Source organism: Homo sapiens, chromosome 1 (genome assembly GCF_000001405.40).
Source record: "Homo sapiens chromosome 1, GRCh38.p14 Primary Assembly".
NCBI lineage: Eukaryota > Metazoa > Chordata > Mammalia > Primates > Hominidae > Homo > Homo sapiens.
In genome coordinates this window covers 186,879,507-186,905,380 of record NC_000001.11, presented here as the reverse complement: position 1 = coordinate 186,905,380, position 25,874 = coordinate 186,879,507, and the positions used below count along the sequence as shown (strand labels likewise).

At 36.9% G+C, this 25,874-nt stretch overlaps 1 protein-coding gene across 5 annotated transcripts in view; it reads right to left on the bottom strand.

Moving 5' to 3' along the window:
- PLA2G4A (phospholipase A2 group IVA) overlaps positions 1-25,874 on the bottom strand; it is a 160,033-nt gene that overhangs the window by 83,601 nt on the left and 50,558 nt on the right. For all 5 annotated transcript variants that reach the window (XM_011509642.3, NM_024420.3, NM_001311193.2 and 2 more), the window contains 2 exons: positions 12,222-12,370; positions 11,170-11,283 (listed from right to left, as the gene is read on the bottom strand). In XM_011509642.3, the coding sequence (XP_011507944.1) occupies positions 11,170-11,283; positions 12,222-12,370 (263 nt within the window). The remainder of the gene's footprint in view (positions 1-11,169; positions 11,284-12,221; positions 12,371-25,874) is intronic.

Here is a 25,874-nt window from a genome sequence, read left to right as displayed (position 1 = left end):
CCTTAAAATGATACTAGATTTAATGTTTTTATCACCAGAGTGTAAAGCCATTGTGAGTGGATGGAAATAACATTAACAATTACAACTCTATGTAGAGTTTTCTAATAAATGGAAAGATTCAAGGCCTCTTTCATTGTGCCGTCTCATGACAGAAAGTGCTCAAGAAAATGCTGGTTTCCCAGCTGGCAGGTCTCCAAGCAATTTATTAATTACATATCCAATGTTTGGCTGGGTGTGGTGGCTCACACCTGTAATCCCAGCACTTTGGGAGACCAAGGCAGGTGGATCACCTGATGTCAGGAGTTCGAAACCAGCCTGGCTAACATGGCGAAATCCCATCTCTACTAAAAATACAAAAATTATCCAGGCATGGTGGCCCATGCTTGTAATCTCAGCTACTCGGGAGGCTGAGGTAGGAGAATCACTTGAACCCAGCAGGCGGAGGTTGCAGTGAGCTGAGATCGCGCCACTGTACTCCAGCCTAGGCAACAAGAGTGAAAATTCTGTCTCAAAAAAAAAAATATATATATATCCCTGCCTGTTTGTTCTGACAGCTCCATTGAATAAAAGGAAAATCAACAATGCTGCATTTATAGTCAAATTTGTCTTCTCCATTAGCACACACTTTATGTATCTACCAACATTTCTTGGCTAAGACATTCATGATCCTGGATGGAGTGACAAGACTCTTTAAACAAAGGCAGGATAACGGAAGAGAAGGCACAGGATTTTTCTGCCATTTTGAATGTTACAGGCTGTGCTGCCAAGGTTCTTGTCACACGGATTAGGATCCTCACTTCCTCATTGCACAAGTGGGTCACCCACAACCAGGAGGAAATTTAAAATCCTCTTGCTTGGTGCACTATGTTCAGACATGCTATGCATGATAAGCTTGATATTTATAATCTCTCTGCACCTTTTACCTAGAACATGTCATTCAGATAAAAACGTACTTCCTGTGAGGCATTAAACAATTACTGTAAACTTCTTCCCACACATGGCATAAAGCATCTCTGCATTACAGGCTTCCATGCTGCTTGTATTATTAGGGCAATTAGAAAGAAGAATGATCACCTCTTCCAGGCTTCCCCCAACACCCTAATACTTAGCTTAGAGCTAGAACTAATTAGAACTCCACCTTTTTTAGGAAGAAGTTGGTTGTGTCCATTATGTATTCTTGTGAAAAGCAGCAATGTCATCTTTAAATTCCCCAGCGGAAAGCAATTTTAGATGTTTACAATTGGAGATTTTCAGTTAAAGGAGAGTGTGGAGAACTGGAGGAGATAAACTATAAAAACTAAAAGCCATTTCAGCCTTTCAAATAATTTTTAAAGGATCTAACCCACTAATTATCTTGAAAACTCTCCAGAGTCATTTTGAAATAGTGAAGCTTAAAGCAACAAGCATAGTGCCTGAAAATAAGGAAGTGCTTTAAAACAGCAGTCCCCAACATTTTTGGCACCAGGGACCGGTTTTGTGGAAGACAATTTTAACATGGACCAGGGTGGCGGGGTAGGAGCAGGGATGGTTTTGTGATTCAAGTGCATTACATTTATTGTGCACTTTATTTATATTATTATTACATTGTAATATATAATGAAATAATTATACAACTCACCATAACATAGAATCAGTGGGAGCCCTGAGCTTGTTTCCTGCAACTAAGCCTTCCATGTGGGGGTGAAGGGGGACAGTGACAGATCCTCAGGCATTATATTCTCATAAGCAGCATGAACCTAGATCCTTCACACTTGTAGTTCACAATAGGGTTCATGCTCCTGTGAGAATGTAATGCCACCGCTGATCTTACAGGAGGCGGAGCAGCAATGCGAGTGATGGGGAGCTACTGTAAATACAGATGAAGCTTTGCTCCTTCGTCCAACTCTCACCTCCTGCTGCGGAGCCTAGGTCCTAACTTGCCATAGACCAGAACCAGGGGTTGGGGACCCCTGCTTTAAAATGATTATTACAAAAAAGATGCATATAGCAAAATAATTTCAAACTTGAGAATCTATCCTATTAGTAAAGGGTTCTTCAAATATGCTATGACTTCCCTTATGTACTCCAATATTTACAACATTTACTTTCAATAAAACATTATTTTGAATTCTGATCCCTAATTTACTCTTTTTTTTTTCTAGGTAGAAACAAACAGCAATTAATCATCATATTGATTCAATCATTATTCACATCTTTCAAGAGAATTACATAATATGTTCTGCTTTATCCATATTTACTTGACCTGTGCAGGATAATAAATAAAGTCATTTTTAAAGGGTCAATTTTACTTAGAATCATGTTTCCGTACATTGTACCTCAATCGTGTAAGGAAGGAACAGGATGTGGATCTGACAAGGAGGCAATCCAAGTGCAAAGCAGAAATTACAACCCTATCAATACATGCAAACTCACATCTAATAAATTCTGCATGTTTAAAAGTTGAATAAGACACTGGTAAAATCATTTTTCTTTTTCTTTTCTTTTTTCTTTTTTTTTTTTTTGAGCAATAAAGCTTTTTAATCACTAGGGTGTAGGCGGACTGAGTCCGAAAAAGGAGTCAGCAAGGGGAGATAGGGGAGATAGGGGTGGGGCAGTTTTATAGGATTTGGGTAGGTAGTAGAAAATTACAGTTAAAGAGGATTGTTCTCTTGTGGGCAGGGGCGGGGGTAACAAGGTGCTCAGTGGGGAGCTCCGGAGACTTATTGTCCAGGAGAAGGAATGTCACAAGGTAAGGTCATCAGTTAAGGCAGGAACTGGCCATTTTCACTTCTTTTGTCGTTCTTCAGTTGCCTCAGGCTACCTGGATGTGTACGTGCAATTAATAAGAAAAACAAAACAAAATAGTGGTGAAGTGTTGAGGCAGCAAAAATTTTGGGGGGTGGTATGGAGAGATAATGGGCGATGTTTCTCAGGGCTGCTTCGAGCCGGACTAGGGGCAGCATGGAACTAGAGTGGGAGAGATTAAACTGAAGAAAGATTTTGTGATAAGGGGTGATATTGTGGGGTTGTTAGAAGGAGCATTTGTCGTATAGAATGATTGATGATGGCCTGGATGTGGTTTTGTATGAATTGAGAGTCATTTTTCAATATACAGTCATGTACTGCATAGTGATGTTTTAATGATGAAACATATTTGCAATAGTGGTCCCCATAAGATTATAATGCTATATTTTTATTGTATCTTTTGTACGTTTAGATATGTTTGTTTAGATATGCAAATACTTACCATTGTGCTGCAAATGCCTATTGTATTCAGTGCAGTAACGTGCTATACAGGCTTGCAGCTTAGGAGCAATAGGCTACACCATATAGCCTAGGTGTATAGCAGGCTGTACCATCTAGGTTTGTGTAAGCATACTTTATGATGTTCACACAATAATGAAGTCACCTAAGGATGCATTTCTCAGCATGTATCCCCATTGTTAAGCAACATATAGCTACACATAATATTTTTAGTAAAACAAATTAGCTTTTCCTACCATGAATCATCTAATCCATTACCCAAGATTTCAGGATAATTGTGTCCACCCCCCAAACCCACACACACAAAAAAATTGTTCTTAACAGACTTGAAAGACTTTTAAAGACCATTGTCTTCCCTGTGGCCACATTCCACACTCTCATAGTTTCCTCCTTACATTTGATGATAATCTCATGTTCCTTAATTTAAGGTCCTTTTTCCTACATGGACATCAGTGGAAATTCTGAAGATCTGGGTAACCATTAGCTTTCATACAATGAAACCAGAGTTCCTAAAGCATTACTACCAAACCACTCTATTACTTCTTTTTTCTCAGACTGTCTAACTTTTCTCTTTTAAACTTCATTACTTTCACTACTCCTGTCTAAGCACTTCCCAGGTTTATAGCACCTCCTGTAAGTGCATTCATATATTCATTCATCCAAAAATGATCCAAGTGCCTAATGTGTGCCAGGATGGGTACACAATGGTAAATAAGCTAGTCACGTTCTACTCCATGATAGAACTTACCATCCAACAGAGGAATCCCAAGAATGCAAGAGCATTCTGAAACACCCTAAAATTTAAAAGTTATAAATTGTCATAAAAGTCATAAAAGTCTCACTTGTTTCAATTGTTAGTGACCCAAAATAAAAATGCATTCTCTATTAAAGCCAGGAATTACTTGAGCCACATTTGAACTCTGTCCTGCAACAATATCTAACAGTTTTAACATCTTAGCGAAAGGTCTCTCAAATTTCTCACAAAATTACATCGTTCTCTTGTTTTCCCTCCAAACTCCACTTTGTCTCAATAACTTACGTAAATTGCCCTCTTTGTTTTCAAACATCAATACGTGATTTTCCAATGACATCATCCTGAGACTAACAACATTCTGAATTCAGCCATAAAAACTCCCTTCTTTTTTTCAGCTTTATCACTATCTCTTCTGTGGAACTATCTTATTCATTTTCAAGTTGCACTCATGAATAAGCAACAATCAAAGAAAGCAATCAGCCAAAATCAGATAGATGCCACAGGAGCCATGAGGAATGGCTATTTTTAACACCAACTTCTAAATACAGATGGCAAACTAAAACACAAGGTCAACTTAGAGACAACTTTCCTCAAAGTATTGGCCAAAACAAACTAATTTCATCCAGAGAAATAAAGAAGCATAATCTTATCTGTGTTGCTTCTAAGCCTAGGCATTTCCATGATTCTTTTGAAGCGGGCTACTTTCCTTACACAAAACACTCTAAATTCTGAAGATTCTAGACCTTCCCACTTTAAAATGGGCCACTATAACCCCAAACCACATTTGACATATTCAGTCATGAGTGACTGGCACATTCTGAACTATCCTGAAACAAATGATCACTGCATTGATAAGCTCTACATTTAGTATTTAAATAACAAGTTCATTTTGGTCAGTAAGTTCAAACAAATAAGTATGTTTGATATCCAGTTAAATCAGCTTCATAAAGCACATGATACACATTTAGTTAAATCTGGTCAATTATAATTAGAGTGAGAATATTTAATATTTATTTAGTGCTTAATGGGCCAGGAAGTATCTTAATATGTTTTACGCATTAACCTATTTAATTATAACCACAACCTAAGAGGTAGGTACTACATGTAACCCTGTTTTACAGATGAGGATGCACGGCAAAGGCAGAAAAGATAACATGTCCACCATCACATGGTTAATAAGTAGGAGAATCATGATTTCATCTTGGGAAGTGGCCATCTGACTCTGAGTCTGAGTCAAAAGCAGCAGGTTGTGCCAGCATCTCTCAAACAACAACTCTGATGTTCTAAATTTTTGACTCCAACAAATACAGTTTAACCCAGATTTTATCAATGGCAGCCCTAAAATTGTCTTTCTCCTCCAAAAAACAAAGTTATAAAAGTTGAGTGATAAAATCAAAGTCTAAGAAAGAGCTGAATTCACTGTAATTCAGCTTTCCACCTTCAGCGGATCCTCACTGCTTCTAAGCAATCATTGCATTCAACTCTACTTGACACATTAAAGCTGTGCCAAGTGTGACTTTCCTCAAGTCACCCTGCACTCGCCATTCTAGTCACTTTCCACAGAAGCAGTCTGTGGTAAGCTGCACCCACCTTTTCATTTTCAGTATCAACATTCTTGGTATCTCTACCTGTTAACATTGCTTGCTAATGCTTCTGAGGAAAAAGCCAGAAGTTCCCTCTCAGTTCCCCATTACCTGGTCACGAACCTTCCATAACCCACTACTGTAAGTAAGATAACATCAGAACTCTTACATCTCACATTTCTGCTCTGCCATAGTCTCATCCCAGTGTACCTCTTCTTCCTTCATGAATGGATGATCTGTTCCCATCAAACTTGTCTAGGCACGGTTTCCCAAACATGCTCTGTCCTTTCTAGTCCAGTGCCTTCAGATAGGCTGTTCTCTTCACCAGGACTACCTTCTGCCCCTTTAGAGACCCAACCACCTCAACCACACCCTTTCTTTAAGGACATGCCTAAGACATTGATGTCCACTGTCACCCGCAATGATCCTGCTCCCCCAGCCCTGTCTTCACCTCTCTGACCTTATCTCCTCCCGGTCTCCCTCCCAGTCTTTCTTTGTGCTCCAGCCACACTCTCCTACTTGCTGTTACTCATCTTGCCAGGCCAACTCTGCTTCAGAGCCTTTCTACTTGGAGTGCCTTCTGTCCTCAGATATCCTCAAAGATACCTTTCTTAACTAAATTTTTGGAACTGCCTTTGTGACCCCTTTACACACATATACACACTGCCCCATTCTCTGCCCCTAGTTTAGTTAGCACTTGTCATTATCATCATCTGGCAGGAGTATCTTTTACATATTTACCTTGCTTTTCATCTGTCTCGCTAAGTAGAATGTAAGTTTCCTGAGGGTAGGGATTCTTGTTCATTTTGTTCACTGCTGAAATAGGCAGTGCCTAAAGAGTGTCTACCACATAGTGAGGGCTCAATAGTTATTTGTCAAATGAATGAATTAATGAATAAATAATTTCTTCTTATGACTCACTGCACACATTGCCTGCACTGTCCATTTATTATACATAAATATTAAACTCTAGATAATGATACACTGAAGTTTGTAGGGGTAAAGTATACTGTTGTTGGCCACCTGCTTTTAAATGTATCAGAAAAGTAAGTTTTTTTGGTAAAATGGTAGTTATAGAATCTAGGTGGCAGTTATATGATGTTCACTGTATAAATCTTTCAACTTTTTCTATGTCAAACATTTTTATAATAAAATTTAAAGAATAATAATGCTTTAGAGAGGTCTCCTGTGACTATACAAATTTCAGTTGCCCACCAACTGTTTTCTGTTGCATACCTTTATTTTCTTCACAGTATTTCTCATTAGCTGATGGCGTGTTGATCATTCTTTTGCTCATCATTGCCTGTTTACTTTCCCTATTAGAATGCAAGCTCCCTAGAGAGTTCACAGGATACTGTCTATCACCTAGAATACTGTCTGGAACATAACAGTTGTTTAATAAAAACTTCTCAAGTAAATCAATGAATAGATACCCCATGATACTGCTTATTATTATCTGTCTGTTTACACATGAAAGTATACTTTCCAAACAGATTCTTAGTTCCTTGAAAATTGTACTTTTTGTGCAGTTTTTTTAATATTTAGCAACATTTTAGGAGCACAATAGAGGCTTATATTCTTCTCATATTAATAACACAATCTATTTACAAGTTAGTATCTTTAAATTATATAATACTATATAAATGATAGATTTTTATTCTTGCATTATTATCATTTAGCTTCCATATCTGTAAAATGAGAGGAATTGGAAGCTTTTGGGTGAAGAAGGCCAAATGAAAATAAGGTATTGTACTTATAAGTGCAAGCTAAACATTGGGTACACAGGAACATAATGATGAGAAAAATAGACACTGGAGACTCCAAAAGTAAGGAGAGAAGGAGAGGAGCAAGAGTTGAAAAACTACCTATTGGATACCATGTTCACTACTTGGATGACAGGACCATTAGAAGCCCAAACCTTAGTATCATGCAACATACCCATATAACAAACCTGTACATGTACCTCCTGAACCTAACATAAAAAATAAAACAGGCTGGGTGTGGTGGCTCACGCCTGCAATCCCAGCACTTTGGGAGGCTGAGGCAGGAGGATAACTTGAGGTTAGGAGTTTGAGACCAGCCTGGCCAACATGGTGAAACCCCGTCTCTACTAAAAATACAAAAATTGGCCAGGCATGATGGCACGTGCCTGTAATCTCAGCTACTTGGGAGGCTGAGACACGGGAATGGCTTGAACTTGGGAGGCAGAAGTTGCAGTGAAGCAAGATTGTGCCACTGCACTCCAGCCTGGGCAACAGAGCGAGACCCTGTCTCAAAAAATAAATAAATAAAAATAAAAATAAAATATTTTTAAAAGAAGAGAAGTATTCTTTCTAGGTCATAGAATTTTACAAATTAGGAGCTTAGAAAAATTTAATCCAACCCTTCATTTTACAGATGAAGAAAATAAGACTCAGAAAGAAAGGATAACAATTCAAACATTCTGGAGAGCTATGAATGACAGAGACAAAACGAGGGTCCATTCTCTCAATTCCCAGTTTCGACTCCAAGTGAATAAAGCAGGGCTCTGGGAATCTGCCCATCTCCATTTGGAAGCTCCTGTTATTTCTCCAGCTGTCTCCTAGACACAGAAATCACTCTATGTTGACTCAGTATTAACGTTTGGATGACAAAACTATGAAAGAGTTTTTGCTAATACTATTTTGCCTTGAAGAATTTGTTTACCCTTCACCAAATCTAAGTGCTGTTTTTCCTCCACTGTGTTGCCATAACCATCTTCAAGGCTTACATCTCTTCTCTCCCATTGCTCCCTCACCAACTTCTCTCTCTTACAACCTCTGTAAACACTGTAGAAAGATCATCAGGAAGACTGGGATTCCAAGCTGAGGGCAGAGGCTGGATAGCTGGGTGGCTGGCACAGGGCACTCCCACATGATCTGAGGAACAAGCAGGGGACTCTCCCCTTAGCCATCATGCTTACTTCTCTCCCAACTACCCCTGCAGCTCAAAGGATTATCATTCAGATAAAACTACAAAGAAGTCTGAAAACAGAGTAATGAAGAAAAGCCTGCTTGGACAACTATTTTCTCAGGCACACTAAAAAAAATAGTTACATAATCTTCTTTAAATTCAGGAATGTGGAAAGCCTTTTTAGAGCCCTAGGGATTACACATCTAGCCATAGGAAATGACAGAGGAGAGGAAATGAATGTTGTCCACAATATCTTCTCTCAAAAACAGTCTTTGTATCATGAACTAAAGTGAAGAAAGAAAAGAAAAATGATTTCAGGAGGTCCAATCCATGCTTCCAAAGCCCTCAACAGACATTTACTGAGAGCCTATGCTAGAAACATGCAATAACTAAGGCCTGAAGATTTTAGCCTTTGACCACCTCTACACTCTCTTCCCTATGATTCAGCAAAATGGATCTGCCAAGCCCTTTATCTTGCTATGCCCCAGCTTGCTTTCTTCTTTCAAGACTCTGGCCTTCAGCAATCTGTTCTGCCCAGAATGCTCATAACTACTTTACTGATGAAATCCTGCTCTTTTCTTAAGGTGTAATAACAGCAACAATGACAAGTAACATTTATATAGTGCCTAATACGTACCAGAAACTGTTCTAAGCCCTGTATGTATACATGTGCACATCTATATGTGTATAGTATCGATATATTTAATCACTTATTTTAATTACTTTATAGTATTAACATACTTTTAATCACTTTCAATCACTTATTGAATTATATGCTTAATATATAAACTAAATAATATGTCAGTATATACTGAACCATAAAATATATCAAATTATAATTAAATGTATTCATATGTAATATACATTATATTATATATTATCATATGCATGTATTATATATACATAAATAAAATTAACTTGCTTAATCATAATGATTCCCTTAGAAAATATTATTTCCATTTTACAGATGATTAAACTGAGGAACGGAAGAGTTAAGTGTTATTTTCCCAGAATAAAACAGATGGCAAGGAACAGAACTGGAATTTAAACACCAAACAGCCTGTCTTTCAATGCCAAAGTGTTAACCACAGTTCACTGTTCAACTTGTTCAAAATCAGCTACTGCTATGGAGGCATCCCTAGCCTCCTCTCACAACACAATCGTTCTTTATTCTGCCTTCCCATAGCACTCTATACATGTCTCATTGGTACTTATCTCACTGTCTGGGGATTTCTTTTTATCACACGTATGTATCTCCCTACTTCCACTTCTCATTTCAACCTTTACTCACCTCCTTCCCAGAGGGAGATAATTGAGGGAAGAACTTCCTGTACCTTATTCTCTATATTCCTTGAACAAAACACAATGGCTGGCACACAGCAGATCTTCAATAAATGTTTGTAAAAGGAATGAATGAAATAGCTTTAAAAGGGGTCGACAGAATTGTGGTGAGTGCATCTCTTGGCATGAGACAGAAGAAATGCTTTCTGCAGCAGGTGGAAGCACCAAGGAGTGCATGGACCAGAGCATCCTCAAGGTACCTGGGCCATTCTGATTGCATGGACTAGTCAAGAAGCTCATTTGGGCTAAGTTGGTTTCTAAATAGGTACACATTCATTCCATAAATGTCATCTATGTAATTAATTCTGTAGGCACATTTAATCAGTATTTCAAGTTTCCTGACTTAGAGGATTTTAGTTTACAAGAGGAAAATGAAACATTGAACAGTATAAATAATGTAGTCCCAATGAATACCATAGATAATTATCATGGAGACTCAAAGGAGGAAGACTCATTTGGGACAGTAACAGGAAAGGCAACATGGAGAAGCTGAGAGTTAAGGGAGAGGTAGGTTGAGGTGAATGTAGGGACTTGGAAAGTCATTCTAAAGATGCGCAGAGACACATTGTCTCTCCCAACAACAAGAAATTAGTATGGTAACCAGCCTTACACATACAGGCCCACCAGTTGTTTACATTTCTTACTACAAACTACTAAATTAGTTTCTTACAGAATTCAAAATCCAATGAGTTTATTCTGTACAAAATTATTTACCTAAGGTTTCATTATTCCAAAATAAACTATCAAAATTTCAGAAATGTAGCAAACCTAGAAAGTCAAAGATAACAATAACCTCCCATCAATCCTTTTGGCCTTTCACTGCTTTGTCCCTATTTACTTGAGGATTCTCTGAGACAGAAATATTCCCCCAGAGAGATTTATTACTAAACATGTGGTTTTGGAATAGTCTGAATTTCCTAACATTTTCCACTGAGTTTGTTTACTTGTTCTCTCTCTCTCTCTCTCTGCCCCCAGCTCTCAGATTTTGCATGTCTTTTTATCCTCCCCAATTTTTTGTATTAAATTTTGCCATTAGAGTCCAAAGGCATTGCTGAATCCCAATGTCATCATTTGGAGCAACAAAGGAGATTAAAGCCTTAGTAGTGTTTGGTATAATACCTCAACCAAAGTTTATAGATGTCAGAATAATTTTTAAAATTAGGACAAAAAGTAAAAAGAAAAACAAAATTTTCTCTTTAAAAAGCAAACATTCTATGAACAAATAAATACAATTTTCCAAGTGTTAAACCCAACTTCCCAGAATCAATAGACTTTATCTAACATAAGGTTGGAATATAATTCTGCAGTGTTACTTACTTGGTTGAAAATAAAAGGAACTTCTTTCTTTTCTCCCACCTTCATAGAAGATACAGTAAATGTTGCTGTCCCTAGAGTTTCATCCATGACATAATTGGCATCCATTAACGTAATCTACAGAGTAAAATGTAAAGCACAAAAATAAAATTTCCCATGGATCTTTGGAAATGACATCTATAATTTCCACCACATTTAAAAAAATGAAGCTCTCAAATGATATTTAAGAGTCCTTGAAGATCTCAATATTTAATTAGTAACAATACTTTTATCTTTTCCTTTTTTTTTTTTTTTTTGAGACAGGGTCTCACTCACCAGGCTGGAGTGCAGTGGCGGGATCTCGGCTCACTGCAACCTCCACCTCCCAGATTCAAGCGAATCTCCTGCCTCAGCCTCCTGAGTAGCTGGGATTACAAGCAAGCGCCACCACATCCAGCAAATTTTTGTATTTTTAATAGAGACAGGGTCTCACCGTGTTGGCCAGGCTGGTCTCGAGCTCCTGACCTCAAGTGATCTGCCTGCCTTGGTGCTCTGAAAATGCTGTGGGGTGAGCCACAGTGCCCGGCCAATCTTTTCCTTCTGAGTACTGTGTTTGCTATAAGATAATAATTTTTCACATTTTCCTGATTGATTTATTCAATTATCATGTTTTCAAAAACGAAACTTTATCTCCTCTCTACTTTGGAATATGAGAAAGATATTAATGCAGAAAATCGATACAAATATTTTGGGAAAAATTAATTTTCACTTTTTAAAAAGGCAATTTAAAATATTTTTATTCTGTTATACTGGGATTCTCTCCTTGATAGCAGAAAATATGTTTTCTCCAAAGCACGTGGGGAGGACAGCAGTTTTCCCAACCCTACCTAACTCCTGTATGTCCTGATAGACACTCATATTACTTGACAGACACCATTTAGATTCTAGTCTACCAAGCTGCCCAGTCTAACTCCAACTATAGCTAACAGGAACAAAAAGGCAGTAAAAGGACAAACTCAAGCATGTCTCTCAACATGAATCACAACCATCTAACAGCATCCAAATGGTTCACTTACCTCCAAAACATTTTCCTGATTAGGATCCAAAATAAATTCAAAGGTCTCATTCCACACAGGGTTTATGTCATTATTGAAATGTCTTGTTCTCTTCCTGCTGTCAGGGGTTGTAGAGATAAAAAGTTCCACATAGGGATCTGGAGTATCAACTACAGATAGTAAACACAAACAAGAAGGAGGTAGAAATGTGATTCATAGTTCCTAATTTTTTTATTAATATATGTTGTCAGTTTATTCTCAATGAATCTGTAGTGATGTATTTAAATGTCTGAGACAAGATAATATACACATAATAGAAAAACATCATAGGGTAGATACTTTTTACATATGTCGCTGTCCTTCATAATAGTCCTGTGAGAGGGAATTGTTTATTAAGTGATTTATTCAGAATTCCTCCATCTATCTAGAGAGGACAGGTTCAAAGCAGTCAACATCTCAGTCAAGCTACTACAGGATGATAACAATGTCACCCAGCTAACGCCAACATGACCTTCACCCAGGACTGTGATAGTGACAAGATCATGGGCTTAAAGCTAGAGACAAATGCACAGACCTACTGTGAACTCATTTTTGACAAAGGTGCCAAGAACATACACTGGGGAAAAAACAGTCTCTTCAATAAATGGTGCTGGGAAAACTGGATCTCCATATGCAGAAGAATGAAGCTAGACTCCTATCTCTTGCCATATACAATAATCAATAAAAATGGATTAAAAATTTAAATGTTAAGATCTCAAAATATAAAACTACAACAAGAAAACATTGGGGAAAATCTCCAGGAGAACAGTCTGGGCAAAAATTTCTTGAGCAATACCACACAGGCACAGACAACCAAAGCAAAAATGGGCAAATGGGATCACATCAAATTAAAAAGCTTTTTTGCACACCAAAGGAAAAAAAATCAACAAAATGAAGAGACAACCCACAGAATGGGAGAAAATATTTGCAAACTACCCATCTGACAAGAAATTAATCACCAGAATATATAAGGAGCTCAAAAAACTGTAGAAAAACATCTAATAATGTAACCAACAAAATGAGCAAATGATTTGAATAGACATTTCTCAAAAGAAGACATACAAATGGGAAACAAGCATATGAAAAGTGCTGAACATCATTAATCATAAGAGAAACGCAAATCAAAATTACAATGAGATCTCATCTCACCTGGATAAAATGGCTTATATCCAGGCAATAACAAATGCTGGCAAGGATGTGGAGAAAAGGGATCTCTTGTATAATGTTGGTGGGAAAGTAAATTAGCACAACCACTATGGAGAATAATTTGGAGGTTCCTCAAAAACCTAAAAATAGAGCTACCATATGACCAAGCAATCCCACTGCTGAGTATATACTCAAAAAAAAGGAATCAGTATACTGAAGAGATATCTGTACTCCTGTGTTTATTGCAGCACTATTTACAATAGCTAAGATTTAGAAGCAACCTAAGTGTCCATCAACAGATGAATGGGTAAATAAAATGTGTTACATATACACAATGGAGTGTTACTCAGCCATAAAGAAGAATGAGATCTCGCCATTTGCATGGATGGAACTGGAAGTCATTATCTTAAGTGAAATAAGCCAGGCACAGAAAGACAAACAGCACATATTCTCACTTATTTGTGGGATCTAAGAATCAAAACAGTTGAACCCATGGAGGGGGCAGAAGGATGATTACCAGAGGCTGGGAAGGGTAGTAGGGGGCTGGAGGGGAGGTGGGGATGGTTAATGGATACAAAAAAAACACAACAGAAAAATGAATAAGACTTGCTATTTGATAACACAACAGGGTGACGATAGTCAATAATAACCTAATTGTTCACTTAAAAGTAACTAAAAGAGTGTAATTGGATTATTTGCAACAAATCATAAATGCTTCAGAGGATGGATACCCTATTCTCCATGATGTGATTACTTTACACTGCATACCTATATCAAAACACTTCACTTACCCCATAAATATATACACCTACTATGTACCCATAAAAATTAAAAAGTAAAAGTAAAAAGTAAAAAAGAAAAAAAATTGAAAAATACTTTTTTTTAAAAAAAAGATTATATTTGTCAATGTTAGAAAAATCATCCTGCTTACTTTATCAGATAAAATAATGGAAGTCATTGTGAGAAGAATATTGTTTATTGTTATAGAGTTGCCTTGTATGGTTGTACAGGTTGTACACTGAACAACTTTAAGGGGTGGCACTCATATTAAAAATCAACATGTATTTATTATGGCAATATTCAGATGGAAATGAGGTGTCTCTATGAAGCAACAATTTTTTTCTTTTCCTTTTTTTTTTTTTTTGAGACAGAGTCTTGCTCTGTTGCCAGGCTGGAGTGCAGTGGCACAATCTCAGCTCACTGCAACCTCGGCCTCCTGGTTCAAGCAATTTTCGTGCCTCAGCCTCCAGAGTAGCTGGGATTACAGGCACATGCCACTATGCCCGGCTAATTTTTGTATATTCAGTAGAGACAGGGTTACACCATGTTGGCCAGGATGGTCTCGATCTCCTGACCTCCTGATCTGCCCGCCTCAGACTCCCGAAGTGCTGGGATTACAGGCATGAGCCACCATGCCCGGCCAGTAACGGTTTTTTCTATTTCACATAAATACCCACTTGAATCAGGGTATGATATGTGTGCCCACTGAAATAGAACAAAACAATTGCAAATAAAGAAATTATTTTAATTTCCTCCCATTACATATACACTTAGCAACAAAGCGAGTGACCCAAACTGTGCAAGTATTGATCACTCCTTTTTTAGGATTCCACCGAATCCTTTAATGTCTTACAGCACTGGACACACTATACTTTATGGATGAAATTATACATCTATCTGTCTTTTCCTACAAGACTATAAACAACTTGAGGGCAAAGATCTTGTCTTCCTCAGCTGTACATCTTCAGAAGCTAACAACAGAAAGCGACAATTACAATATTTAAGGTTTCCTAACCTATCGACTTGACTTTCCCGTTTAACAGGTGCTTTTCCATGCGGCCATTATAATTAATAACAAAAACAACAAATAACTAAGTAATGACTACAGGGATCTGTGTTAAGTACTTTACACACATTAGTCTCATTTAAATCTCACAATCGCGCTATAATGTAAGTACTTTATTTTAGTGTTAAAGTAACAGGAACTGAGAAATATTAAGCATTCTGTCCAATATCACATAGCTAATAAGTATCAGGTCAAGTTCTTGAACCTGGGTCATTTGACTACAACAATCATTCTCTTATTACATCATGTTCCTCAGTAACAAAAATTAGATTACAGGGTATGGATTCTATGGAAAGAGGAGCTGGAATTAGAGGAAGAGAAAGAGAGGGTGAGTGCAAGAGTGAGGGAGGGAGGGGGGAGAGAAGAAGTACAGAGGTCTAAACAAAAAGATCCAACAGTTGAAAATAAAGGAAAAGCAAAAATAATAGTTTCTGACCTATTGATTGGGTTTCCCCCCCAAAAAAATTTAAATAGATGTTGTCTGTCAACAACAGCTATGGTCATCAAAAAACGTAATCAATGTCTTTCACTTAATTGTTCAGTATTGCTCCTAGTTCTTTATGTAGTCATCAGCTTCTTTAGATGCATGTGTATGTTTAGTGGTTGTTATTATAAAACGGGAGGATCTACAAACAAGGTATCAGCCTTTGAGGCTGCCTTTAATTTTCCGGCTTGGACCTTATACATCATTGGTAAAGAGCAGTGGGGCAAAAGTGAGAGTGCAACACAAATGCCCAGGGTTATTGTAAAAACATAGACCCCGACCTTCATCCCCGAAGACCCATTGTCTGCATATCTGTAGTGGAATTAAGGGCTTGCAATTTTTAACAAATAGTCTAGCTGACACTGATGTGGATCATCTTCTGGTCACACTTTTGATATCCTATTTTAGACAAAAGGGGAAAGCCAGTCATTCTCATTTCTAACTCAGTGCTTATAACTCTCAACAGGACCATGGAATACAAATTAGAGAACAAAAAGATTGAGTGGGAAGGATGATAAGGTGAAATGGGCCAAAGAAGAAGAGAACATGTCATAGGGTAACATTATCACATTTTCAACCAGGAGGTGACTGCTTCTTTTCCTTAACCATGTTTCTACCATATCACCAGTGCTCAGGATTGCAAATCAGAAGTAAAACTCCATATTTAGAATAGCAGTTGGTAGAAAATTATCAAGAAAAATATGTAATTTTAAGGAAAGTATTCAATTAATGCTTCAAATTATGTGTTACAAAACATAGCCCTACATCATCTCATAGGGCCAGATTTTTCTCATAAGGCCAATGCTCTTTTTTTTAACCATTTTCCAAGAAGTAATAGAAAAAAAACAAAGCCAAGCAAAAACCAACGTGGAATACAAGAGTGTGTGGGAAGGGGAGGCATGCAAATGGCAAACATCATTCATTCATTCAACAAATACATGAGTGCCTACTATATGCCAGGCATTGCTCATTCACAAGCAGTTCAGCCTTGATAGGGAGCCAAACACTAAACTGAAAATTCGGATTATGGAAGTGAGTCAAATGTTAATAGCCTAATTTTAGAGGCAAGGTAAATTGAAGATAAGCAGTTACACTACCCCAGTGACTAGTAACTCAGTCACCCAGATTATTACACACAAATAAGGTCAAATCGTAGGTGGGGAAATTGCCTTTTCAGACTTAATCTTTACTTGAATCTTTGGGAAAGAGGAGGGTGAGGTCTACTTGGCCCAAACAAGAAGGAGCAAGCTGCAAGTGAAGTTCCTTGGAAGGCACCAGATGGGAAAAGGAAAGGACAAATTGAGAAGCACCATGAGTCAAACCATTATCTACCCATCTTCTCAGCCATTTTAGATTCTCAATGGGTCATATTTTTAACAAATTCTAATTCTGACAAAATGATAAAGAAAATACCATAAAAACAATACCCACACCATGTTTATATATTAAAACATCCACAGACTTTGTTTAAAAAATCAGAATCCAGTTTAATAGCTGTCATGTTGGATTTGCATTATTTAATTTTACTTTGAAAGTAAGTCAGCTTTCTAAAATGTATGTCCAGAGTGGCAGCGTTTCTAATTTCTCCTCTTGATTCTTTAGCCAGAGACTTCAGAGTTAAGATGTCAAAGGATGCTGGACAGTGGAAAACTACCAAAACTGCACACTTTGATTTTGCAATCTGCATCAGCTCTAATCATTGTAAGCTAAGAAATATCTATAACAGTGGTAGATAGGATAAAAATAAGTTTTAAGAGGCTAGTTTAAAGTTGGATTACAATAATCACATAGCTCAGTTTCTTTGCATAATCTATAACCATCACTGGCATGGTAGCAAACAGAATTAGAAGATTTGAAAAGGAAGGCAGCCCACTTTGACAGTAAACACAGCCCAATACTTTAGAGAAGTTTCAAGGAATGAATTAAAGAAAAAGTTAAATGTAGAATTTGTTTTTTCCTGTACATTATACTTATTTCATGGCTTTGTCAATTAACACCTATAGGGCAATTGCGTGTTGAGTCACTAACTCAGCCTCATCTTCATTATTTTCAGCCAAACATGTGGTGAAGCAAAGATGTAATATGTGGGCAAAAACCCCTTTTACATCTCATCCTTTTATCTAAATCTTGACAAACAAAAAATGTCGGGGGTGTGGAATACAGATCTTTTTTCTTCCCATAAAGTTGACATGAAACTACATGCACCAGAAATAGCTTCAGGGTGGTAAAACTTACTACTAAACTTCAGGAGTTTAAGGAGCGCCTGCCTGAAGTCATAACAGACCCATTTGTCATTTCAGCTTTGTCCAAGTAATATATCATGTGATTCATGAACTCATGGCAGCTTCTAAACTCCTAGCTCTATTTTAAATATTCTCTATTTGCCTATTTCCCCTTCATCAGTAGCAACTTAAACCTCTTGTTTGAAAAACAGATTACAAGTAATTTGTTACAATTCTTGTGATAAATAGGAAAAAAAAAATCCCAAAGGGGAAAGTCCTCCCAAATGTGTAGTCAAAATATGGCCCATTCTGAATACCTATGGTTCAATGACAGTGAGCTTAAAACAGTGTTTCCCCAAATGTAGTCCATTGAAATACCATGACCTTCACGGATTCATCTGCAGTGCCGTTAAAAATGCAGAACCTTAGCACCTTCAATCATATTCTCCAGCATGGGCCTGGAAATCTGCATTTTGACAATTGACCAGGTGATTATTATTCAGACATTTGAAGAACAGGGGCTTAAGGTATAATATTACGAGGAACTAAAGAACAGGAGTATAATAACACCCACAGAAAAATTACAAACATTTTGACATTGAGAAGGCAACAAAGTTACTGTTCTTCTGTCAAGGAGTTATTCTGCCCATAGACTAGATTAAGCCCAGTCCAGTCATTTACTTCTATTTCTCTCCAGACATAAAATACATTTTCAAATGGCCACGAGAAAATAAATGCAAGAATAAATTAAGTGTGGGTGTGTTAGTTGGCAATCTGTTTAAGGTGATGGACTGCTCTTCAAATGTTATGCTTCAATTATCAACAAAGTAGAAATGACTAAACGAGAAGAAGTAAGACCAAAACTTAAATGAAAATTTGTTGAACGAAATGCCTCTGAATACTATTCTCAGATGTGGTCATTCCTTTGATATATTTATGATGTAATAACATTGCTAATTACACACAGAGATCTTAGAGCAGCTTTTACGATTGTCAACCTTTTCGCTACCCATGTACTAAGCTGGTTGAGGTATGAGGTAGGAGTTAGGATTCAGTCTTTTTCCCTGTGTAACCAATAGACCCAGCATTATTTATTGGGAATACTGCCTTTAGCCCTTGCATTGCAGTATAAACTTTGCATTAATCAAGTGGTCACATAAAAGTGTAAGTCTGTTTCTGGACTTCGTTTGTCTATTAGTCCATTAATCTATCATTTAAGCTTGCATCTATACCACGCCTATACCAAACTGTCTTAATTATAATATTTTTATATTAATTGTAATATCAGGTAGTCTAAGTCCTGGAACTTTGTTCAATATCTTCAGGATTATACTGGCAGTTGCTTTATTTCCACACCTCAAAGATGTCAACTAATATCTTATGGTTCCTCTCTGTTTTGTTGAGAAATCCACTCTTGGTCATTTGCTTTTCAATATATTTTATTGGCTACAGAAAATACCCAGCCATTATATTTTCAAATATTACTTTTGCCCTATTCCCTCTCTCTTCCCAATGCTTTTTGTCATACCCCAGATATTCCTTAGCTTTTTATTCTATATTTTATTTCCTTATTTGTCTTTTGTGTTTCAGTCTGGATATTTTCTATAGACTTATTTTTCAGTTCAGTAATTCTCTCTTTAACTGTTTTCAAACTACAGTAAAACCATCTACTGAGTTCTTAATTTCTTGTGTTTTTCAGTTTAAAATTTTCCATTTGATTATTTTGTATATATCTGGTTTCCTGGTAAAATCCTCCATCTTAGCATCTATTTTCTTGAACATATTACTCTTAGTTATTTTAAGATCCATATCCAATACTTGTGGATCTGTTTGTTTCTTGATCTTATTTTTGTTACACTCATATTCTATAAGCCGCTGAATATTTATAATTCAGTCAACCTTTGACTGAATGCCAGACTTTTTTATGACAAATTATGGAAGAGCTAGATCTACCTCCACAGATGACCCACTTTATTCTCTGGCAGGCAGAGAAAGTAGGACTGATAGCCTCTATTGCATTTTAACAAATGAATTGATTTCATTCTTTGTAAGGTTAGTCTACCTCTTGTTCACTCCCACTCTAAGGCTCCCAACTTAAAGTCAAGGGTATTTATTAGGCCCCTTTTAATTTGGTCTCTCTGATCTCCTTGTTTGTTTGTTTGTTTGTTTCCTCTTATGAGACTGCCAATATCTTTGTCCTGTTTTTCAGGTTTTTATTTTTGCTTCTCAGACTGTTGCCCTGCATGAATCAAGAATTTGGCTAGTGCCTCGTGATGAAGGTGCTGGCTGTCAGGCATACTTCTTCTCTAGGCTTTCTCTCAAGGAACTTGGCTTCTCAAAATCAACTTATTTTGTCCTAAAATCCAGTCTTTATACCCCAAGTCCTTTGAGGTTGACAAAGCTCTGCTGGATTATTGGCCTCTTCACTGCTTGGCTACTTCCCATATCCCTATCACTCCCCTCCAACCTACCTAGATGCAGCTAACTAATAGACTGAGGGAAAACGTGGCTTGCAGAATATGAGCTTATTCCTTCTTTTTTTTTTTTTTTTGAAGACAGGATCTTACTCTGTCAACCAGCCTGGAGTGCAGTGGCACCATGGTGCCATCTCAGCTCACTGTAGCCTCAACCTCCTGGTTTCAGGTGATCCTCACACTTTAGCCCCCTTCCCCAAGTAGCTGGGACTACAAGCTCACACCATCATGCTCAGCTAATTTTTTGTGTTTTTAGTAGAGATGGGGTTTTACCATGTTGTCCAGGCCTGGTCTCGAACTCCTGGGCTCAAACAATTCATCTGCCTTGGCTCCCCAAAATGCTGGGATTATAGGCATGAGCCACCACGCCAAGCCTGGCTTATTTCTCTTCTGAGATCTTAGTCCCTCAAGTCCCAGTTTACTCATCAGCTTTTCATTCCTCTAGACATTTAAAAAAATTAATTTAATATGTGTTTCCTAAGTTGTTCTTAGGAAAAGTAAATACACTGCTATTAGTCACTTTAGCATACTTCAGTGACCATTTAGTTCCTAACTTGGCCAAACTATAATCATCCCTATCCTTCCCCTCCACCCACCATTCTCCACATGGCTGCTAAAACATGTACTGTTTTTTTCAAGCCACCTACCCTACTTACTACTTCTCTTTTGAGGACACAATTCAGACTCACACTTCACTAAAAAAAAAAAAAAAAGGGGGAGGATTAGATGTAGTCCTTCAATTTTCCTTCCCTATATCTCACAATTTAAAAAATATGTTTATAATTTAATAATGTATTCATATTTAAGTTCTTCCTCTATTATCTTAGAAGTAAAAGTATCCTTACACTCTTCTCTCAATACCGCTTCTCTCGGATATTTCTTATTTTTTAATCCCCAGCCTCAAATTTAATCTGTAAATATTGGTTTTGCCTTAGCTACTTTCTCTCAACTTATAAATATAAACAAATATTGGGCATCCTTAAAAAAATGAACAAAATTTCATTAATTCTTACAATTCTTCCAGATCTTTTCTCTCCTACATCAAAGATTTTGGAAAAATATAGTCTACACTTACTGCTTCTAAATCTCATTATTCCATAAGTTTCCAACCTACTGTCCTCTGCCTTCTTCTGTTACCCTAATCGGTTCATTCTCTCGAACCTAACTTCAATGCCAAATTCAGTGAGCTTTTTCTCACTTTACTTAACACATATGCAACATCCTTGGTGCAATTATCTTTCTTTTGTGTCTAATATATCATTATTTTGTGATTTCCTACCTACCTCTCTAAATAGTTCCTCTATATCTTTCACCAGCTTTCTCCACCTCAACTCATCACTAAACTGTGGACTTTCTTCTTGTGTCCCTTACAAATCTCTTATTAGAATTCTTCAAAAGGAAGCGAGGCCTTTGAACACTGTATTGCTCATGTAGTCAAAACCAAGTTGCAAAGGAATGATCGCAGTTATTTATATGGTCTTGAAAACACTCAATATGCACCCCTCATATCACATGACATGCATTAATTGTGTAGTCTAGTTAATCTCAGATCCTTTAAAGTTGATTATCTTCAAGGTTTAAATGGCAGCTACAATGCATTCCTTCATATCCTCAAGGCTACAAGGGGGAAGAAGTATAAACATGACATATATGAGGTTCTTGATTATATGTTAACATATAATCTATTCTTAAGTAATATATTTTGAAATAGTTCAATCCTGTTTAGTTACTCTGAATCAGTTCTGGATTTTCTTTAACACTCCTTTAGTTCTGCCTTGCACATAAATGTCAGTGTCTCCCTAATCTACATCTGTGAGCCCTACCTCCATTCTGAAATCTTAAATCTGCTCTCAAATGCCTCAAAAATACCTTGAATACCTTAAAGATACCTCAAACTCAATATTTACAAAGCAAACTTATTTTCATCATTCTTTTCCTAAATGTAAGACAAAAATTAATACAAAACAAAAAAAAACTAAAATAAAAACTTGTTATTTTTCCTCACTTTCTTTCCTATTTTATTTAATGATGTCATCTTTTCTAACCGTCTGGCCTAGAAACACGAGAGTTGTCTTTTCTTCACGATTCAAATATCCAATCTGTCTCTAAGTTTTAGCTTTTCACTTGCAAAATGATGTTAACATCTGACTCCTTCATTTCATTCAAAATAATTGCCCCGATTCAACTAAGCACCACCTCTCACATAGACTATTAGCATAATCTCTTAGTTGCTTATTCTCAAGGCACCTTCTATAATGCAACCACAACTATCCTTCTGAAACACACTTTTGACCTTCACTGCCTACCAAGTCAGGCCTAAATATGGTGAGAAAGACTTAAAGGCTCCCTCCCAACCCCCCATCAAACCCAAGGTTCTCCCTCTAGTCAGTGACCCTTCTCAGCCATTCACTGGAATATCACTCTACGGCAAAGAGGCATCTTTGGAATCTACACATTTCAAACATTCCACACAGGCATATTGATGGCAGAAATATTCATTCTAACAGATCTTTGCTGTACTTTTAGTTGTACATGTTGTTATGTTTTCTTTTGACGTTTTAGCTGATAGCTAAAGTTTATTCAAGTTGTTGTTCTTGTCCCAAGAATATCCAAGATAAGAGTCCAAAGACGGTACAGTTAAGAAATATGGGGAATGAGATGTTCTCTCCATTCTTTCCTTATCTAGTCCCCACTTCCCTAGTCAACTAGTTGTTTTGTTTTCCTATTGGGTGAAACTGGCAACTTTAAATCAAGTTCCCCAGAGGTTTTATCTAGATACATCTGCATAAAATAAAAATAATTCCACATAAAGCTTCAACCTGCTGATTAGGTATTATTATTTCCATCAGAGGTGAAGAAATTGAGACTCAGAGGCATTTAGTGAGCTGAGCAAGTTCATTCAGAGTTGGGGTTTTAACCCAGTCTTTCTGAAACCAGAGTTCTTGCTCAGTCAAATATTCCAGTACTAATAACTTCTACCTCTTTTTGTCTCTATGAAACTGTAAACTCCATGATAGCAGTGAGCACAGCCTTCCTATTCACTCCTGTGTCCAAGAGTCTCACATGAAGTCTGAGATATAGGAACATGATACACATTACTAAAAGAAAGGATGATGGACTGACCCTAACCGATACTGTGGAACAGGTCACCTTTATCATAGGCACAACAGTCTCCACTCAAACTTCATTTTACTCTTTGGTAATAGGTCTCAACCCTCCTGGTGTTTGTCCCCAACCTGTTTATTTGGATTGTAATATAAATCAATGTCAGTCATTTCTTCCAAGTATATTTGTAATTAACCTTTATTTGTAAGTATTAATTTTATATTAAAAAAACCTGAACCTCAGCTTACCTCCCTTCATAATAACTCCAAGGAATAGGCAGAGTGCCACAGGACTTGTTTACATGTAGCAGCCCCTGCTCCCTCCAGAAAGAGATCAAAATTATAAGCGTTATGGCTATAGATGCTGAAAGACAATTCCTGGGAATTGCTGGGAGTGCAGAAGCTGGAAAAGTTAGTGAAGAATCCAATGTGGTTTAGTAAACAGAACTTGGGCAGTAATTCTGTGGGGAGAAAGGAGTAAAGATTTTACAACAACTTGAGCATTGCCTAGGAACTCAAATGTGGAATGCCTTTCCCTCATTTGAAATTACAATGCAGTTTTATTAACACTATGTTGAAATCCCTTTATTAGGCAGTCTCCAAGTTAAGCTGTACATTTCATTTCCTTTTTTCTCATAGGCTGAATATGTATAATAGTGCTTTCTAAAGTCACATTTCCTTTTGTAAGGGAGTGTAAGGCAGCATGACACTATCAGAAAGTGCCATCAGTCAAATGGATGTCAGCAAGACAGCACAATAGTATCCACTCATGATCAACTTGGTACATTTCGTACTAGCAATTGATTTAGTACATTAATGAATAGCTAACTGAGAGTTGGTATACAATAAAAATGATTTATTGCAAAGATGTTGATATTCATGGGAAAATGGGGAGAAATATACGCCAAAACAACACAAAGAAGACTAAATGTAGATCTAAAACAGAATTGAAAGTGTCGTTGTTGCCTGCAGTGTCATTTTACTTAAACTTCTGTGATATCTTCTTGGAGGGAAAAAACATATCTTTGGAATCTGTATCTATGCTTGGAATGTTTTAAATGCTTAGAATGTACGGATGTTTCTTGGAATCTTTCTAGATTGAATAGAAAGAGTAATTCTCCAGAAATTCTTATATACCGTGATAAAACATATTAATTTATTCATATTATTCATTTTAGCTATATGGATTTAAATATATATGAATTCCACTTACTGTAGGCAAGAAAAATTATTCTTTTTCATTAAAAAGAGATTCTTAACCTTAATGCTATTGACATTTTGGGCCAGGTAACTCTTTGCTCTATGGTGTTGTCCCTGACTTCTAGCTGCTAGATGCCAATAGAAATACCCGATTTTGACAAAAATGTCTCTAGAATATTGCCCAGTGTGCACCAGGAGGCAAAATTGTTTCCCAGTTTAGAACCACTGCACTAAAGCAAGACATAATTCTTGATATTTATTCACTAGCATAAATCATAAAAAAATAGCTAAGCTCCCTAAATAATATATATTGGACAGATTATGTCAATCTCACTTTAAATATTGTTCTTATGATTTTCTTTTCCAAAATTGAAATGCAACCCCTACCCATTCCATATATTAAAAGGCTACCTAAGTTATAAAGCCCATCTCAATCTACATTCAAGCTGTAAAGTCTTCTCTTATTGGCAGCATTTTTCCAAAGGGTTATTTAAGCCCATTTCATCTTCCCACTTACCCCACACACTGCTCACAGGCAAAGCTGCTGCACAAGTAAACATTGAAGTGAGGCAAGTTTGAGTTCCAGCCCCAAAACATAACAGCTCTGTGATTCTGGACTATGTTAACTAAACTTTAACCAAAGTTCTTACACAGGGCCTGTTGTGGGGTGGGAGGAGGAGGGAGGGATAGCATTAGGAGATATACCTAATGTAAATGACGAGTTAATGGGTGCAGCACACCAACATGGCACATGTATACATATGTAACAAACCTGCATGTTGTGCACAAGTACCCTAGAACTTAAAATATAATAAAAAAATATATATATAAATAAATAAAAATAAACAAAAATTAAAATAAAAAAATTAAAATAAAGACAGTACATATCTCAAAGTATCACTGAAATGAATACATAAAGTATGTATAATGTAAAGTCCTAAGAAGTTTGCTTAGGATTTTTGTTTATTTAAGAAACACTTATATTGTGCATACTATGCCATAATTTCATTTAAGCTTCATAAATAATAGTAGGATTATTACTCCCATTTAACAGTTGAAGAAACTGAGACATAAAACAGCCAAGTAACTTGTCCAAGTTCACATGGTTAATAAGTAGCAGAAGGGAGATTTGAACCCAAGCAAGACAGTTTCAGAGTCC